An 18,503-nucleotide genomic window follows, 5' to 3' on the forward strand; every position below is an offset into this window, starting at 1 on the left:
CACACACACCCACATGCTCCAGTCATCCTCAACCCCAGCATAGAAGCATTAGGCCCTTGGGCACAGCCTTCCTAGAGGAAGCAGCAGAACTTGCTCAGAGCTCACTTCCACAACTCCTCCCTCCCTCCCCACCCCCTGTGCCCCTGCTTCAGACCTGGGCAGCCCCTAAGTTCTCTGCAGGTTCTTGAGCCTCCTTAGTTCTGGCAGCTGAAGTCCCCAGCCTCTAGGGTGGCACCCAGGGAACAGCCATCCACCCCAACTAGAGAGGGTGGAAATCTACTGAAGGGCCAGTCCGGCTCCTGGAACAGCCCTGGGGGCAGGTGCTCCCTGAAGCCCATAGGACTCTGTCTCCTTGGCTTCTCTCCCTGCCTCTCCCTTGGCCTTTCTGTAGAATTTCACAGCCACTGATATGCAGGAAACAGCGAATACCTGGTTTCAAAAAGGGAAGCCGTGCTCAGGAGCCTGAACACAGGAGGCCCGAAACAGGGCTTGTGTTGCATGGACCTGAAGCCAGAGGTGAGGGCGATTAGGAAATTCTTTCCCACATCAGGGGAAGGATGCTGTTGAAATGGGAGGCCCAAGGCATCTCTGCAGGACAGAGACTGGACATATGCCCAGAGAGGTTCAGGTCCGTGAGTCTGGAATATCCTCCTCCTCCCCAGGGACAGGGGAGCAGGTCTGGGGCAGGCCCATTGGTTGGAGGACGGGGAAATGAGCTGTAGATGGTGCCCCTTTGACCCTCTGATCCATCTTCCTGTGCCTCACAGTCTGACCACCAACACTATGATCACATAGTTCATGCAGGTTCTCGTAAATTCATTCCTTCACTCTCGACTGTGAACAAATCGGCTGTTGCCTTCATGCTGCTGAAAAGCTCGTCCACCCTGGCTGTTTCTGCTCCATGCCCGCCTGTCTGCACAGGGGAGTGCCCTGCCCTGAGGGAAACCAGGCATTCTTCTGGGCCAGACAGTCTCCTGGAAATGAGGAAGGGAGAGAATTGTCTAAAACTGCTGGAAAGTTGAAGAGTACACCACATATACACAGAAGCATTTGTCTTTTCAACACACTTTCTCTCCCCTTCAGAGGGACCAGGGCTGAAACCTGAGCTGATTCAGCCCAAAGGAGCTTGGTGACTGCAGGGAGTCCACTATCAGCAACCTCCTTCCTCGACCCCAGGAGCCCAGAGTCTCACCTGCCCAGAATGTGCCAATCACTCATTCATTCAACAAACTTCCTGGATCAACTGGGCCCTGGGCACCCTGGTGCTGAGATGAAAGGCCAGCCTCCACTGCAGGGACACACTCTGGAGAGAGAGATAAGACTCCACCAGCGACTCCACATATGGCTGGAAGATCTGTATTTTAAGAGAAACGTGAACCAGAACTTGCTTAACCCCAAGGGTTGAATTTCAAACACGGAATTGGAGGCATTGGTGAGCAAGATATGCACACACACGGCATCATACAGCCTGCTTTCTAAGCGCAAGGCCAAGGGGAAGAGGTGGTTCCTGCCACACTCTGGGACCCCGCTGGGTGACTGTGGCCTGGCATGGTGAGCTGGGGGCCAGCCACTGCCCTCAGGACAGCAGGGTCCTCTGCCTTTCCCCCGCAGAGTGGCCTGGCCTGCCTCATGCTTCCTGCAGAGCTGGAGGCTGATGGACTCCAGACCCAGCACTTCTGCTGCGGCCTCAGCCATTCTCCCAGCTCCTCCCCATCTGGAGGTCGTGGGTAGCCCTGTGAGGGTGTGGGCTTGGGAGCCAGCTGAGCTTGGGAGCCAACTAGGCTTGGATTCAAATCCTGCCTCGGTCCCTCTGTTCTCTGAATGGAAATCCTCACCTACAGTGGGGGAGCTGGCAGTATTCCTGCAGGGCTGCTGGGTTGAAGCACAGGTGCAGGCACAAGCCTTGCTCAACAAGTATCGGGAGGCTCCTCCCATCTGGAGAGCACCCAGGGCACGGCATGTGGCCCAACAGGACCAGGCTGGAGATCCAGGGAAGGCGGGGATGGGGAAGCCCCAGGAACCCCCTGCAGACAGGAGGCTCTGCCCTGAGACTGCTTCCTCCTGCCAAGCCCCCGCAATTACTCAAGTGCAACAGGCGCTCGTGGTAATGAAGTTGGATGCCTCTGAGTCCATTTAATGATATTTAATTATGCACCACTTTCAACTGACAGGCTGAGGGAGATCTACACCTAGCTCCTGACCCTGGGCGGGCTGCACTCATATATAGGTCTCATGTAGACTTTAGGACTGCTTGTCAGAAACTGTGCTTTTGCCTGGAGAAAAATGACTCAGAACAAAGAGAGCCGGAGAGCCTACAGGCACAGCGTTCAGGCACCTTCCAGAGGAACCTGGGAAGGGTCTCTAGGCCTGGCCTCCTAGTTCAACAATATCTCCTGGGCACCTACTACAGGCCAGACATTGTGTCAAGCTCTGGGAATAAAGCCATGCACAAGACAGTTGTGCAGTACAACCTCCGCCCATGGGGTTTCCAGCAATGCCCAGATGGGCAGACATGGGCATGGGAGAAGGGAGGGCTTTGGAGTGGAGAAGAAATGGGGGCAAGCTCCAGAGGCTTGTGTGCTTTGGGGCCTCTGTCAAAGAGAGCCCCCTTTTCCCCAAGCCCTGTGCACCTCCCACCCACACTCACCTGGGTGCCACCTGTCCCAGCACCTGAGCTCTGGACAACGGAAACTTAGCTCGTTCTCCAAGTTGATTTCTCAAGGTTTGCATCCAGGAACTATCTAGAGGTGTAAAGGTTAGCCTTACCACAGTGCACAGATCTGGGCACACTCAGCCAAGCTGTTGGTGAGATAAGGCGCTGAAGACCCCACAGTACCCTTCAGGAGGAAGACCCCAATCCCACTGCCCAGACAGAACTTCATCATGCCATGCCCGAGTTCCAGTCTTCCTGAGATTTTTCCATTGTTCTTCAAGAGAAAGGAAAGGAAAGGAAGAAGGTGGGAAAGAAAGAAGAAAGGAAGGGAAAAGGAAGGAAAGGAAGAAGAAAGAAGGGAGGGGTGGCAGGAAGGAAGTGGGGAGCCGAGATGGAGACAGATGTGGTAGGCACGTGTAGATCAGCCTTGCCCAGGCTTCTGCTGTTCTTGGAGGATGACGACGATTCTCTCCGTATTTAAGAAGCTGTGAGTTTGGCCTCCTCCAGTTCCCTGGGGCTTGTGGCTGTTTTCCAAGCCAGTGTTAAGGGACTGAGGACAGGCTGTGCCCTCCACGGATGGGACTTGCTGGACGACATCAAGACATACAATTCCGCTCTCCACAGTCAGAGGTATCGCCATCCACTTAGTCAGTCTAACTGAAAATGCATCTGCAATTCCTGTTTTGTTTGGTTTTGTTTTTAAGGATTGCTTTCCCTAGCCTATCGATCTCCAAGCCTGACATAGCCTTCTGTAATTGTACCCGAGCCCATCCGCCAGAATGATGAAATGCCTGTAGTGTCACCTGCCAATAGTGATACGATTTACCCCCTAGAATTCTCCCCGGTGGAGGTAGCACAGCCAGGCTCACTGTCATCCATGATTCCTTGGGGAAGATGGTTTCTCAAACAAGATGACTGTGTTCTCCCCAAAAGACACCAAGTTTCCAGAACGCTTGCATGGACAGAACAGAGGACGAAGCCAACACCCGCAGTTGCTGGGGACAACCGAGAAGGCTGCTGTGCATCTGTGCTCAGACATCAGCATGTGCCCCAGCCAGAGGGGCCTCCCAAGGCTGAAGAGGATGCCGTGCACAGCAGAAGGGCCATCCTCCACCTGCCCCAGAGAGCAGTGGCTTCTTCAAGGTGCCTGTAAACCAAAAAGCATCTGAGACGGGTCTCAGTCAACTCAGAGTGTATTCTGCCAAGGTTGAGGACACACCCAGGAAAAAGAGACACAAGTAGGATCTGTGGCCTGTGCTTTTTCCAAAGAGGGTTTGGAGGACGTCGATCTTTAAAGGGGAAAGAGCAGCAGGAGGGGAAGGAGGAAAGAAAGAAAAAGGGCTGGTAGGTAGTGAGGAGAGTGGTCACGTGCTTCTGAGGCTTTGATTAGCGCTCACTGAGTCCACTTGTTGCAGTGGCAGGAGGGTAGAGAAACGGCCAATTATGCATTCATTTTGTGCTCAGTAAATCTGCACTTTACATAAAGTAAAATAAAGTAAAGCATGGAGCAGAGAAAGAAGCCAGATGCGTTTGTCTCAGGGTGAGTGGAGGAATGTCTCGGCCCGTCTTTGTCCCATAGCTGTGAAGGTGAGCTGGTCATTGACGTTGTCAGCGTCAGATTCCACAGAACTCATTTGAGAGCTAGTTTAGAGGGGACATGCGGATTCTGAAAGATCTGGGGGCCCACAAGGAATTCCCTTGTGATTAATCAGTGAGGAAAGCCACCTGGGGAGACGTATGGCCTTCTATCACTGCAGCTATCTCTTCAGAGAAGAAAAGAAGGACTCAGTTTCCAAGCTTCCCTTTTCCCTTGGCATAGTGAGTCTGGGGCCCTAAGATTGGATTTTCCTTTCACATGTCTGTCCCTTGAGCCCCGCACTCATCCCCCAGCATTCTGCAAACTTCCCCAGGCCAGACCCTACGGTAAGGACTTGGACCCAAGCAGGCAGTGTAGATGGTGATCCTGGGAAACACCCACGCGGGAGGAAAGGGACAGCAGCCAGGACAGGTGTGACAATGAGCAGGCTGCTGCTGAGGGCATACTGGGGAGGTGGGCAGGGCAGGCCTTAGGCTGTCCCCCTGGGGGCAGGTGGGCTGGAGGATGCATGGACCCGCTCTGGTCCATCCTTGGCTCCTGGGGGCATGGAGTCACCAAAACTCCTGGGCTGCCCCACACAGACCAAGCCCACTCTTGTTCCAAAAGAGGCCCTTGGGAGAAAGGGCCACAGTGGGCATGGGAATGATGGGTGCCAAGCAGATGTGGGCATGGTGGGGACAGGGTCTGCAGTGTGCTGAGTGCTTGGCCGTGGGGTTACAATGAGTCACACAGTCTCTGCTCTCAAGGAGCTCCCACTGGGCACAAGGGAAAAAAGGACAGGAGACACAGCCCCTGAGAGGCTCTCACGGCCTCCCGCAGCAGCATCGGTACCCACACGGCCTGGCCTGAAAGTCCGCCCGGCCTCTGGGCATGGGAGATGGGCAGAATTCCGTGCTGCTGGCCTGGGATCCTGTCACCAGCAGGAGACAGTAACAGTAACAAAACCACACCACAAACTGAGTCCACAGGTCTGTGCCTCCCACGCACCAAACCCTGTCTCTGGGGATGACAGTGAGTAGGAGGAGAAACGTGTTTCTCACATCGGGAGACAGAAACAGGAGGCAGGGCGCTGCTCTTTCATCTCTCAGGCGATGCATGTTCATCACACACAGAGTCCGGGGGGGCAGGAGCAGCTTCAAGTCTCTCTGAGCTGGGAGCTCACCTCTCACGGGTCACCCAACCTCTCTGGGTTCCAGATTCCCCATGGGGAAGACCCAGGCACATTAAGCTTCCAGACAGCCCAGAGTGGGAGGCAGCAGAGTGGAGTGGAGGAGGTGGCGCCCAGCCCACGCTCTGCATGGTCACCAGGCTCCTGAGCCAGACATGCCCCCACCGCCCCTACCGGGCAGCGGCCTCCAGCTGCATCACCGTGTGTCCAGAACACAGAACTCACAGGGGCCTCCGGAACCTCCTGCCAGGCCTGGTGTTAACAGACTCTCCTCCCAGGACCCCCCATATCCTGCGTGACAAAATAGATGACATCAGGAATCCCAAGATGGAGTGCCTAAGGGGTGCGAGGCCAGAGTACAGGTGCCCACTGGCCGAGCGCCTGCTCCCGAGGCTGACTCAGCTCTCTGGAGCTCACTTTGCTCTAGACCAGCCAGCGTGTCCACCCTGCTCTCCTCCCACTCCTCCTGGCTGAGAGATCTCCAAAAGCCTCACCCCCACCCGCAAGCCTGGCCAGCTTCTGCAGGGTGGGGGCACAGCTGGAGCCAAATAGGAGCCAGCCCTCCTCAAATGCCCTCCTGTCCCAGCTGAGACAAAGGAGCCTCCAGGGAGCTGCCCAGACCCTGAGCGCATCTCACCTCTCCCGTTGAGGAGGACCTGGTGTAGAAAGGAGTGCTGGGTGTTGGGGGGTACACCTTGGTCATTTTGGCCTTCCTCCCACCATGACCCCTCTTGCCCTCAAAGAGTGCTGGACAGAATCTTTCTCAGAGGGCCACCCCATCGGGAAGTCCCCTACGTATCTAACCTCCATCCATCATGCTGTAAGGCAGCCTCTTTCCTCTCCTTCTGCTGTTAGTTGAGATGGGCTGGAGCCGAGCTTGTGTCCAAATGAGAGCTGCTGTGGACCCAGTCATGGCTCCGTCAGTGCCCAGCGGGAGCCTTTAGTGAGAATATCAGTGACAGGGATGGCAGTTGTTTGCTGAATGCTTCCTGTGGGCCAGGCACGGCTAAGTGAAGGATCTCACTTACCATGTGATGATCAGCCTCTCATAGGTCAGGAGGAGGCCAAGGCAGTTAAACAACTTGGCCAAGACCCAGCCATGGGTGAGCACAGAGCTGAGATGCAGAGTGGCCCCTGCCCTGTGCCTGCAGGACACCCGCCACTCCTGGGAGGCCTCAGCATTGGGTGTCAGGAGGGACCCACCGAGTCCCCCCAAGAGCCCCTCGGCTGTGCTCCCCTCCCCCTCCACTTAGGCACTGGCCCCTCCAGCAGACCCCTCAGAAGCCCAGTGACATCGAGGGAGCACTGATTTGCAATGACAGATTGAGCAGCTGGAACCCTGCCCATCCATCCTCAGAACTGCCTTGTGCTCCCAGCAACCCCACAGCCAAATCGCAGAAAAAGAGGCTGCCCTCCAGCACAGCCAGCTCTCCAGGCTTGCACCTGGACGCGTGCCCACTCTGGGCCTCAGCCCCTCTGTCTGTGATGGAGGCCAGAGGCCCCTCCCACTCATAACAGGGCTGGCAGGTAAGGGGCAACATTGCCTTCCTGTGGAGTTGCACAGTCCCCAGAAGCAGGTGGTGATTTAAACACCCTGATTCGCCTGTAATCCCAGCACTTTGGGAGGCCGAGGCGGGTGGATCATGAGGTCAGGAGATCGAGACCATCCTGGCTAACAAGGTGAAACCCCGTCTCTACTAAAAATACAAAAAATTAGCCGGGCGCGGTGGCGGGCGCCTGTAGTCCCAGCTACTCGGGAGGCTGAGGCAGGAGAATGGCGTGAACCCGGGAAGCGGAGCTTGCAGTGAGCCGAGATTGCGCCACTGCAGTCCGCAGTCCGGCCTGGGCGACAGAGCGAGACTCCGTCTCAAAAAAAAAAAAAACACCCCGATTCACAACACAGGCCCTGTGGGGCACCAGGCAGTGGCAGGCACAGGTGGCCCCTGGAAGACATGAGTGCCCTGGAGAAGGAAGGCTGGGCCTGGGGCACCCTGGGCTGCCCTCTGCCCAAGCCACAGGCCCCAGAGACTCTTCCCACCCAAGCCAGAAGTGGTGAGTCCCATCTCTGGCAAGTCTCAGCCCTGCCAAAGGCAGGGTCTCTTTCACCAGGAACTCAGCGTTCTGCATCTTCGAGTGTCTATGTAAATAAAACAAACTTCTGTCTGTCTGCCCCCCACGCCCTGCCCCATCACAAGGCAGCCAGCGGGTCTTAGATCAGGGCTGCATCTGTGGTGTTCCCACTCAAAGCAGCCTGGGCGCTCTGTGGTGCCCACACTGCCCTCCTTGAGGACTTTGAAGGCACCTCGGAGGCAGTCCTTCTCAGAGTGGCTGAAACTCAGAAAGCATCACACCATTCATTCGGAGACCCCACGCATGAAGAGAGCTAGGGTAGGTTCAGCTACAAGCCCCAGATGGAAGGGCCCAGGGGCAGGGTCGAGCTGCATGAGCCACTCCTGGGGGCAGCCCTCCCAGGTGGCAGCAGCTGAGTGCATTGTTGGTGAGACGCATGGCTTTTCTGAGAAGCACGGGTAAGTTGGTGAGCTGTGCTGGAGGGAACGAGGCCCGCCTTCCACGTGCTCCCCTTTCAGCTGGTGGCAGGAGGCTGGGCCCCGGTGACTCCCCAGGAGTGCCTCCAGCTCTGGGCTTCTGCAGCATTTCATTCCTCCCTCATGGGGCTTGTTGGAATCTGTGTGTCCACTGAATGGGGGTCATCATTTCAACCACAGCACCCAAGCACCTCCTCAGCAGGGAGCTGTCTTTGTGCAGGATGATGCTGGATACGCTGCTCTGCACTCAGCGGGAGAGGCAGGTGCTGCTGGGCGGGTGCTGCAGGGTGGCAGGTGCCGCTGGGCAGGTGCACAGGCCCCCTCCTCAGAGCCCGGCATGCTGGCCCTGCCAGAAGGATGCCAGGAAGCAAGAAGTGGGGGCACAGAAACGTGTGGCTGTGGACAGGCAGAGAGGAGTGCGAGGGCGTTCTAGGTGAGCAAAGGCTGGAAGCAGAAATGTGCTGGTGATGAGAGGCCCATGGACATGCCGGGGAGGAGGGCTGAGTGGAAAGGGCTTGGACACCAGGCTGGGAGGTAGAGGAAGGAGAAAAAAATGGGCCTGGATTGGCCTGAAGCTAGAGAGACTGGGAGAGGCAGAGAAAAGGAAGCAGCGATAGGGGCGAAGAGTAATGGAAATGGAGGCAGAAGAGAGACTCCGAGAGGAAAGACAGGAAGGGGCAACCGAAGAACAGGCAGAGAAGAAAATGCGGGTCCAGGGCAGGGAGGGGCGAGGAGGCCACTTGCACTTCTGCTGAGGGGTGCCTACTCTCCTCCCTGGCCACACTCGCACCTCCTGGAAACCCTCTAGGTCCCAGCCATGGCTCTTGATATCCCCTGAGCCCAGGACCAAGATACTATGCTGCAGCCTTCCCTCTCTAGGGCTGCCAAGTCGACAGCCTTCTCCAGGTCCTGGATAGTGGCTGGGGGTCCCTGGGAGGCAGGTCCGGCCTGGGGAGGGGGCGGTGCCGGGAGGCTGCTGTCTGTGCCACAGAGGTCACTAAGAGGCTCCCTGCTGTGTGACAGTGGCCCCAGATCATTGGAGTACAGTGCCGCAGGCCCTCCCAGCCTGACCTTCTGGGAGACCCCAGGGCGTGCCGGAGGTCTGGATAGTCTCCCTGTCCTGGGTCCAGGGCCAGGCCCGGGACTGAGAGCTCCGCACAGTGAGGCGCGCACCACTTGAGCCCAGCAGCCTGGGGAATGGACCTCGCCTCTCCCTCGAGCGCTGGGAGGGGCGGGTAAGGCCTAACAATGTGACCATCTGCTTCACCCCTTTCCACTCTCTGGCTCCTCCTCTGTAAACGAGCTCCACAACATTCCAGACCGCACGCCAAATCGGAAAACTCTGGACTCACAACCACGGGCTTAAATGCCTAATTAAGCTCATTCTTTGAACCAAGCCATATTTGAATGCATCTGTCAGCCCTCCTCCAGCTCGCCTCGCAGCGGGGTGGGACAGCGCTAACGGGAGTGGGAGAGGCAGCGCAGCCTGGCAGACAGGCCCCTGAGCCGTCCCCAGCCTTTCCTGGTCCCCGATCTGCCCTGGTGGGGCTGTTCGAACGCTTGGTCCCTGAGGTTTTACAGTCACCAGATTCATCTGTAGCCTTTGCTCCTGGGCCTGCAGTGAACCCCTCGGCTCCCCACCTCCCTGTCCCCGTCCCTGGAAGGCTTGGCGGGCACCTGCCTCGGCTTCAGACTCCTCTGGTGCAGCACCTGCCAAGCCCAGGCCCTGCCTTGCTGGGGAAGCTCCGTGTAGCTGAGGCCTGCGTCAGTTTCCTCTATCCCGGACCAGAGATGGATGCTCCCTCCCTTCTCAGCACCCTCCATTCAAACCATTTGTGGCAGCCGCGCCACACCAGAGGGTGCAGGTCGCAGCCCAGTGCTCTGAAGAGGGGGCCACGGGGAGCCAGGAGACCACAGGCGTGGGTTCTGAGCCCACGTCCGCTGCTGCCTCCCCGGGTCCCGGCATCAATTCCCCACCCGCTCACCTCCCTGAGCCTGCAACAAGAGGATGTGGATGAACAGTGTTCCACTGTGTGTGTATATTAATACCACGTTTTATCTATCCGCTCACCTCTTCATGGTCATTCTCGGCAGCAAGGATGTTTAGAGAATGTTATGCTAAGTGAAAAAAGCCAGGAACAGAAAGACAAATAGCTCATGATCTCACTCATGTGGGAGCTGAAAAAGTCGATCGCATAGAAGTAGCGAGTTGGGTGCTGTGGCTCATACCTGTAACCGCAGCACTTTGCGAGGTCGAGGTAGGAGGTCCCTTGAGCCCAGGATTTCGAGACCAGCCTGGGCAGCATAGTGGGACCCCGTCTCTACAAAAAGTTTTGTTTTTTTTTTTAATTTGCTGGTAGTGGTGGGATGCATGCCTGTAGTCACAGCTACTGGGGAGGCCAAGGCGGGACGATCGCTGGAGCCCGGGAGTTGGAGGCTGCAATGAGCCATGATCACACCACTGCACTCCAACCTGGGTGACCAAGAAAGACCTTGTCTCTAATGAAAAAAAAAAAAGAACAGGGTAGAATAGTGATGACCAGAAGCAGGGAAGGGTGGGAGGACAGCCAGAGATGGCTTAATGGCTATAGAACTACATCTAGACAGGAGGAATAAGTTCTAGTGTTCTATAACACTGTAAGATGACTATCATTAACACAATGTATTGTATATTTTCAAATAGCTGCAAGAACGAATTTTGAATGTTCCCAACCCAAAGAAATAATAAATGTTTGAGGTGATGGATATGCTAATTACCCTGATTTGATTATTACACATTTCTACATGTATTAAAATATCACTGTACCTAATGAATGTGTAGAATTATTATGGTCAACTAAAAATAATAATAAATGCAAAAAAAAAGGATGTGAGGAATAACTCCACTCACGGCCCTCCCTGGGGTGCACCTCCTCCGTGTACCTGACCACACATCAGGGGAAGGCACAGAGCTGGGACAGAAGCCCAGAGGTGTCCTGTCACCCCCCTGCTGCAGGCTGTCAGCCCCTCCTCATCACTTGCAGGGCCCAGACAAGGCAGCCCACCCGCCACAGGTGATGGGACCCCCAGCCACCCCTCCGGCCCCCCAACCCTGTGCCCCTCTCCCCAGCACCCCTCTGGTTCTGATGCGACAAGCCTTCTACAGGACCAGTGGCCACACTGCTCCCACCCTGGCCCTCACACTCTCTGCCTTCTCTTCCAGAAATGCTTGCCCCTTCCTCCTTGTTACCTGGCTCCCCCGATCCCTTAGGCCTCCCCTAATCCTCAACTGGCACCCCCAGCCCCTGTGTGGCCCCTTCCATCCTGGCACTTGTCTCTCCTGCTGACCTGGGAGCTCCAAAGCAGCAAGGACCTCAGCTGTCTCCCTCCCTGATCCTCAGGTTCCCAGCACCCAGGGCTGGGCCAGGCTTCAGCTGAGTGCTCTGCTGTTACCTGTAGAGTGAGTGGGTGGGTGGACTTTATAACCATGGCCCACCAGCCTTGACCTTTCATACAGTTTGACAGACCTCTTGCTGCCCCAGGCAGCCCCATGGCCCTGAAGGCAAGGGTACCCCTGTAGCACATCCCAGGGACAGAGCCAGACTCTACTACCTCCACCCCCTGCAACACCATTTTCTTTCCTGCCCTTCCCTGTTGCAAGCATATTCAAATGTTTAAATTCTGTTTGGGGAACAATTAGCCTGACATATGGTCTCATCACGTTTTGTCTTCCGATGGAAAAATCCAGGGGAAACTTGGAAAATGATGACTGGCGAGGCTTTAACGTGTTTTTGCTTTTTTTGATGGTCACAAGCAAGCCACAGATGAAAAGCCTGTTACCATCTGGTCCAACCCTCTCATCTGACTCAGGGGGAAACTGAGGCCCAGTGAGAAGAAGGTACCAGCCTAAGGTCTCCCAGATGCAAAATCCAGAGCCCTTGGCACTTGCCTCTCCGCCTCAATAACCTTCAGAGAGTTGGACCTAATCTTTGCAGTGGGGTGGTGGAAAGAGGGGCTTTTAGGGCCAACATGCTCGAGTTCTGTCCTCGAGATTGTGTGGCTGGAAGGCTTCATACCCCTGGACCATAAGAGGATGGCAGAATGGGGAGGACCTGCAGTTCCCTGTCTAGACCCCTCTTTGGTATCCCCATCAGGCAATGGCTTGGCCAACCAGGCCCCCGCTTCACTGCCCAGTGACGTCCAGACCTTGTTGCCATCCACCCTGCAGCTCCTAAGGATCCAGACGGCATCTGCCAAGAAGATACAGCAAGCCTGCCTGGAATCAGAACCCACTCCTGTGACTGCCAGAAAGAGCCCACTCCCTGCATCTTGCCCCGCTGGGCCTCATCTTTCCTGGGGATGGGGGTGAAATACCCAGCCACTTTCTGGCCCCTAGAGGCCCGATGTGCACATAGACGGGCTGGATGACATGTGCCTGGGCTCACTTATGGAGCATCTGTCCCCTCCCTCACCACAATATCAAATCCCGCAAGCAGAAGCAGGAGGAAGTCTGTCTCTGCCTGCGTGTGGTAGCTGGCACATCCCTGGTGCTCCATGCTGTGGGTGCCCGGCCACTCGCCTCTACAAGGACAGTGCTGTATGCTGACAAAGCTTTTCCATTCTGCATAATGGTTTTGTTTGGTTTTTGTTGTTGTTCACAAGAACCCAGGCAGGTATGATTATTATCATGCTGACTTTGTGAATGAGACAACGGAGACTCAGAGAGTGAAGGCGACACATTCAGTAAGGGGCAGGGCCAGGATGTCCCCTGTGTCATAGGCTCTAGGGAGCTCAGGCACTCCTAGAGGGGAGATGTGAAGGCATCTCCCTGGGCTGGAGCTGAATGAGGATAATTCCCCTCCCTTTGTTCTGCAAGGAGTGGAGTCCCTGGAGCTACATCCAGTGCCATGGTCCAGAAAGGGCAGACCTGTAGCCAAGAGATGTCCCCCAAGCACCGTCACATGCCTGAGGTCCTGAGGATGCTGTGGAGGGGCCACCCTCAGTGCACGCCTGAGCCGACACTGCAGAGCCTGGCTGTGTAGAGGTTCCCAGGAAGGACCTCCAGCAAGGGCAGGGCTAGATCCCGCCTGCCCACAGGGAAGGAGAAGCACAGGTGGGGAGAGCACAGGTGCTCTTTCCCTCCCGATGTATCAGCTGGGGGCCTAGCGCACAGGCCTTCTGCCAGGAGTGGAGGCTGCATGGGCATTCTGCAGGCCACCCCGTCCCCCCAGAAGCCCCACCACAGACAGCCACATGTTGAGCCTCCAGCTGACAGGGCACAGCTCTGACAACAGTGAGCAGCTGGGGGACCACACTCGTTAGCTCCCATTTAGGAGAAAAGGCATGCCTTGTCCTTCCTCCCTGAGCTGGGCTCCTGCAGGGCCTGGCCGGTGGCAGTTAAAGCATCCGGACGCTTTCGGACTCCCTGCCGCAGGAGGGGCTGCCCGGCCAGGGCTAGCGGGTGACCATGCTGTGCTGAGCGCCCACAGAAAGGGCTGGGCCCTACAGACTAATCCATTGTAGGGGCATGGATGGGAGTCGGGAGGCTCCTGTTGCTACAAAATGACAGTCCATCCATCCAATGTTCACTGCTGCCAGCTCTGTGGGCCCCCAAGAGCCACACGGTCTCTGACCTGGGGAGCACACAGGGAAGAGAAGCCAGCCCAGAGGTAGATGGCTTAGCCTGTACATGTGGCCCATGGAGGGCCTGGTAGGCTTCCTAGAAGAGGCATCTGACATCTGGGTCTTGAAGGATGAATAGGAGTTTGCTTCCAAGGGCGGATGGGAGAGAAATAGTCCAGACAGAAAGCACAGGCCATGTCCAGTCACAGAGCTAGAATTCTTCAAACCCAGGTCTCTCTGCTGTCAAAGCTGGTACTCTTAGAAGCTGCATTCTGCTGCTTGATGCAGGGGGAGCTGCAAACACCAAGCCAAGACTTGGAGAAGGGCCTAGGAACGGGCGCATTCAGGTGTTGTCTTCATCCATTTCGGCTGCCATAACAAAAATACCAGAGACTAGGAGAGACTTGTAAACAACAGAAGTTTATTGCTCACACCTGGAGGCTGGGAAGTCTAATATCAAGGCCCCAGCAGATTTGGTATTGCATGAGGGCCCCCCACTTCCTCACAGATGGCCATCTTCTCACTCTAACAAAACAGCAAGGAATCTCTCAGGCCTCTTCAAAAATGGCATTAATCCGTCAATCCCATTCATGAGGGCTCCTCCCCAGTGGCCTAATCACCCCCCAATTCTCCACCTCCTAAAACCATCACCTTAAGGACCAGGATGTCAGATTGTTTTGTTTTAGAGACAGAGTCTTGCCCTGTCACCCAGACTGGAGTGCAGTGGCACAGTCACAGCTCACTGCAGCCTCAACCTCCTGGGCTCAAAGGATCCTCCTGCTCCTGTGTGTAAATCTCCCACCTGCTGAGAGAAGCCAGCTCCCCAAACCACATGCACATCAGACTCTATCTCCAGATTCCATGTGAAATCCACCAAACGTGGGCCACCCAGGCGGTGGAGCACCGAAGGAGACACACATGAGGAAGACACAGGAAGGGGCTCTGTGTCACCTGGGACTGGCTCTGGGAGGATGCTGCAGCATTGGCTCTCAGGGACACAGAGCAGGCAGGGACACCCTCTGGGACAGGGACAGGACAGTTAGAGTGTGGAAAGATGGGGAGGGCAGAGGACACACCACACAGAAGTGTGGTACAGGCAAAGGCATCGAGAGAGACCCTCCCAGGGCAGGAGGGGACAGAAATGGTCCAGACAGAAAGACAGCCTGGAGGGAGCCAGCCACACTGATGATGATGGATAACATCTGTGGAAGGTTTGGAAACAGGAAATGACAAGAGCAAAAAATAAAAAATAAAATAAGGAAAATTAACCTAGCCATGGTACAGTCAGAAAACTACTAAGTATTCCAGGAAAAGGTTGGAGAGAGAAGGGTTTCTAAATTTCATTCTCAGAATCTAAAATAAAACTGATTTTCTGGCCTCTGGGAGCTCTGGAGAAGCTCTGGAAGTTGCAGGACCTGTGCAGTCACCACATCTTCCAGCTTTCCAGCCAGGTCATCGCTCCCCAAGTCCCAAATTGTGTGACTGTGACCACGATGGTCTCAAGGTGAGGGGCAATCAGAAGGGCTTTCAAAGACATGAGGTGTGGGCTCAGAGGCATGCACCAACTCATACATGCCAACTCATACACACACACACACACGCACTCACACACATGCGCACACACGCACACACATGCACTCTCACGCACACACACACATACACATACACATACGCATACACAGCAGCTCAGCGGTGGTGCACATTTTCTGTTATCAAAGGAGACAACAAAGAGGGGTCATGAAATGCAGCCAGCAGATGGAAGCCCGCTAAAATGTCAGCCAGAAGAAATAGCCCACGTCAGAAAAACAAAATTCCAGTTTAGCAAAATCCTTCCCTCCTCCCCCACTCCTCAGAGAAAATTTCCCGTGGAGGCCCCTGGAACTTTGGCAATCCAAGAAGAGTTATTTATTCTGGACCGCCGCGCCGCTGTGCATGTTAAGTACAAAAAGGAAAAATGCTTTCGGATTTGGAAATGGGGTTGCAGTCGCAGATGGTGCCTGAACATGCATAAATTCGGTGACTGCGTGAACAGATGGAAACTTGAAGGGGAAAAAAAAAATTAAAAAAAAACAACCTAGCATTTATCTGCCAGGCCACTGCGGAGCTGGAGAAGGGGAATCTGTCACTTGACTAGGAGGGTCTCGGTCTTCCAATCTGTGGGATGGGGGTAAGAAACCACCATACTCAATGGTCATTCCCAGCTGAGTTTCAGCCCTGTCTCTGCCACTGAGGAGCTGGGGGACCTGGCCCCTTACTTAACCTACTTCTTCATGTGACCCCGGGGATAATGCAGATGACCTGGCAGGGTTGTTGTGAGAATTGCCTGAAGTCATCCATGCATAGGACCTATCTGTACCTAGCCAGGGCGACAGCCCCATGAGTGGGGCCTCACTTGCCAGATAAAGCCCGGAGTAGCCCAGAGAGGAAGATGGAGCACCCTGAAAGCTCCACTGGTCGGTCCCACAGGAGAGGGGCTGGGGAGAGAGAGAGAGGAAATAGAGACGGACTCCTCCCAGCTTCCCCTTTCCAGAAGGTTTCTGGGCTCTGGGCAAGAGCTGCACAGGCATGCTGTTCAGGAGAAGCCGACGGTAGGCCAGGCTGCAAGGGCTGTGCCAAGAAAGGGTCTGTGGGCAGGTTCAGTGGGAACGTAGGAAGAATGAAGATAACTTAGAAGGAGGGTTCTTTCTCTTTTTGTTTTTGAGACAGGGGCTCCCTCTGTCACCCAGGCTAGAGTGCCGGGGTGCATTCATGGCTCACTGAAGCCTCAACCTCCTGGGCTCAAGATCCTCCCACATCCGTGCACCAACACACCTGGTGATATGGGTCAGACTTTGTGTCCCCACCAAATCTCATCTTAAATTGTAATCCCCAGGTGTTGAGGGAAAGACCTGGTGGGACGTGTTTGGATCATGGGGGTGGTTCCCCCATGCTGTCCTCATGATAGAGAGTGATTTCTCATGAGATTTGATGGTTTTATAAGGGGCTCTTACCCTTTCACTTCCTACACATCCTCTCTCACCTACCGCCACGTAAGACGTGCCTGCTTCCCCTTCCGCCACGATCATAAATTTCCTGAGGCCTTTCCTGCCATGAGGAACTGTGAGTCAGTTAAACCTCTTTTCTTATAAATTACCCAGTCTCAGGCAGTTCTTCATAGCAGTGTGAAAATGGACTAATACACTTGGGTAATTTTCTTTTAATTTTTTGTAGGGACAAGGTCTCGTTACGTTACCTAGGCTGGTCTCGAACTCCTGGCCTCAAGCAATTCTCCCACCTCGGCCTTCCGAAGTGCTGGGATCTCAGGTGTGAGCCACCATGCTCAGAGCCAAAGGGAAGGTTCTATCCAGGGTGCCCAGAGATTCTTAGCAAGTCAGTCCTCAGATTCTGCTCCACACTGGGGAGTCCACATGGTACGGTGAATTGACTGCAAAAAAAATAGCCACAGTTCTCCACCCCTCCCTGCCTCCAGGCCCCCAAGGACATTTTGCAGCTACTCCCTGAGGAGGTGGCATCTACTTCTCCAACCTAGCAGGGTGACCTGCTGTGGCTGACAGAACCCAGTGGCAGTGAGTGTGTGTGCCAATGCGAGGCTGAGCTGCCACTCTCTTTGGCGCTTCTACTTCCACCAGGAGGACAGGCCCAGGTTGGCCTGCTGGAGGAGGAGATGCGTGGAGCAGAGCCACACTGGCCCCAGGGGCCCAGCCAAGGGCCCTAGGTGGAAGAAGATCCCACAGCCACCTTGCCAACCCGCAGACAACCACAGGCCCATGAGTGAGCCCTGCCGGGCCTGGCTCAGATCCGTAGAGCCACAAATGACCCACTGTTGCACAGGGAAAAAAAAACACATGTTTACAATTGCATGTCACCAGGTCTCAGTGGTTTTTATGCAGCGATTTTGTGACAACTGACACTGACCTACCTTCTTTCACCACACTCCCACTCCAAAGCAATTTCTGGCTCTGGAGAGAATGGGGGTTGGGGAGAGTCTCAGCACAAACCCAGAACTACAGTTCAAAACTCAGAAACTATGATTCAGAGGCAAAGGGCTCCCTCCCCATAGACCATGGCAACAGCTCCACCACTAAGGGCCAAGTCACCAGATTGTCTGAGAGTCCCTCTGCTTGCACCACTAGTTTCCCTGATGAAAGGCAGAAACGCCAGCCATCTCTGACCGAGGCCATCTCTGCATAGGGAGCTTCTGGCCCTCAGCTGTGGGGCTGGCACTGCAGAGAGGGCATCCCCACCCCTGCACGTGCCCACACAGGTGAAAGAAAGCCTGAGCAGCTGCCCCCAGCACAGGCTGGAAACCCTGGAGCTAGTCAGGAAGGCAGCCCCAGCAGAACTCTCCCCGGCCCCCAGTGGATGCCTCCAGGGAAACCCTCCCACCAGCCCCACACAGCCTCACAGAGGCACAGATCCTGGATTGTTTTAGCTCCATGCAGCCCAGCAGGGTTCTATCTAACACTTCCCTGAGTAATCATAACCTGCCAAGGTGATGGGGCATGTGCCCATCGGGGTGGCCGTGGCAGGCAGCGTGGTGAGCTCTGTGATGCAGAGTCAGGGATCTGAGCTCCACCTGCCCCTAGTCCTGGGCAGACCCCTGGACCAGCCTCCAAGTTCATCTGAGGCCTGAGTGCTGCAGAGGATGGTCCCAGGGGAGAGAGCCTCAGCAAGAAAGAAGGAGTCTGGCCGGGCACAGTGGCTCATGCCTATAATCCTGGCACTTTGGGAGGCCAAAGCAGGTGAATCACTTGAGGCCAGGAGTTCGAGACCAGCCTGGCCAACATGGTGAAACCCAGTCTCTACAAAAAACAGAAAAATTCACCAGGCATGGTAGCACATGCTTATAATCTCAGCTACTCAGGAGGCTGAGGCATGAGAGTCTCTTGAACCTGGGAGGTGGAGGTTGCAGTGAGCCGAGATGGCGCCGCTACACTC

General features: G+C 55.4%; 1 long non-coding RNA gene across 1 annotated transcript in view, besides 5 other annotated features; it reads right to left on the reverse strand.

Moving 5' to 3' along the window:
- Nucleotides 1-18,503, reverse strand: part of VSTM2B-DT (VSTM2B divergent transcript) — a 238,742-nt gene that overhangs the window by 108,969 nt on the left and 111,270 nt on the right. Inside the window, exons 3-6 of the long non-coding RNA NR_040029.2 lie at nucleotides 16,798-16,989; nucleotides 2,648-2,737; nucleotides 1,193-1,354; nucleotides 430-974 (exon numbers count right to left, since the gene is read on the reverse strand). This is a non-coding gene — a long non-coding RNA (VSTM2B divergent transcript). The remainder of the gene's footprint in view (nucleotides 1-429; nucleotides 975-1,192; nucleotides 1,355-2,647; nucleotides 2,738-16,797; nucleotides 16,990-18,503) is intronic.
- Nucleotides 2,166-2,335: an enhancer, noted in NCBI's record as "experimental_50793 CRE fragment used in MPRA reporter constructs". NCBI's record gives its function as "activates a minimal promoter by MPRAs in K562 erythroleukemia cells, with activity observed for the non-introgressed 19:29889135 variant allele {active_cell/tissue: K562}" and the evidence as "EXISTENCE:reporter gene assay evidence [ECO:0000049][PMID:34662402]".
- Nucleotides 8,818-8,987: an enhancer, noted in NCBI's record as "experimental_50815 CRE fragment used in MPRA reporter constructs". NCBI's record gives its function as "activates a minimal promoter by MPRAs in K562 erythroleukemia cells, with activity observed for both the introgressed and non-introgressed 19:29895787 variant alleles {active_cell/tissue: K562}" and the evidence as "EXISTENCE:reporter gene assay evidence [ECO:0000049][PMID:34662402]".
- Nucleotides 8,818-9,497: a biological region, named in NCBI's record as "H3K4me1 hESC enhancer GRCh37_chr19:29895755-29896381".
- Nucleotides 8,871-9,497: an enhancer, noted in NCBI's record as "H3K4me1 hESC enhancer chr19:29895755-29896381 (GRCh37/hg19 assembly coordinates)". NCBI's record gives its function as "activates a minimal SCP1, AML or CMV promoter by ChIP-STARR-seq in primed H9 embryonic stem cells {active_cell/tissue: H9 hESC(primed)}" and the evidence as "EXISTENCE:reporter gene assay evidence [ECO:0000049][PMID:30033119]".
- Nucleotides 9,054-9,223: an enhancer, noted in NCBI's record as "experimental_50821 CRE fragment used in MPRA reporter constructs". NCBI's record gives its function as "activates a minimal promoter by MPRAs in K562 erythroleukemia cells, with activity observed for both the introgressed and non-introgressed 19:29896023 variant alleles {active_cell/tissue: K562}" and the evidence as "EXISTENCE:reporter gene assay evidence [ECO:0000049][PMID:34662402]".

The sequence above is a fragment of the Homo sapiens genome, chromosome 19, assembly GCF_000001405.40.
Source record: "Homo sapiens chromosome 19, GRCh38.p14 Primary Assembly".
Taxonomy (NCBI): domain Eukaryota; kingdom Metazoa; phylum Chordata; class Mammalia; order Primates; family Hominidae; genus Homo; species Homo sapiens.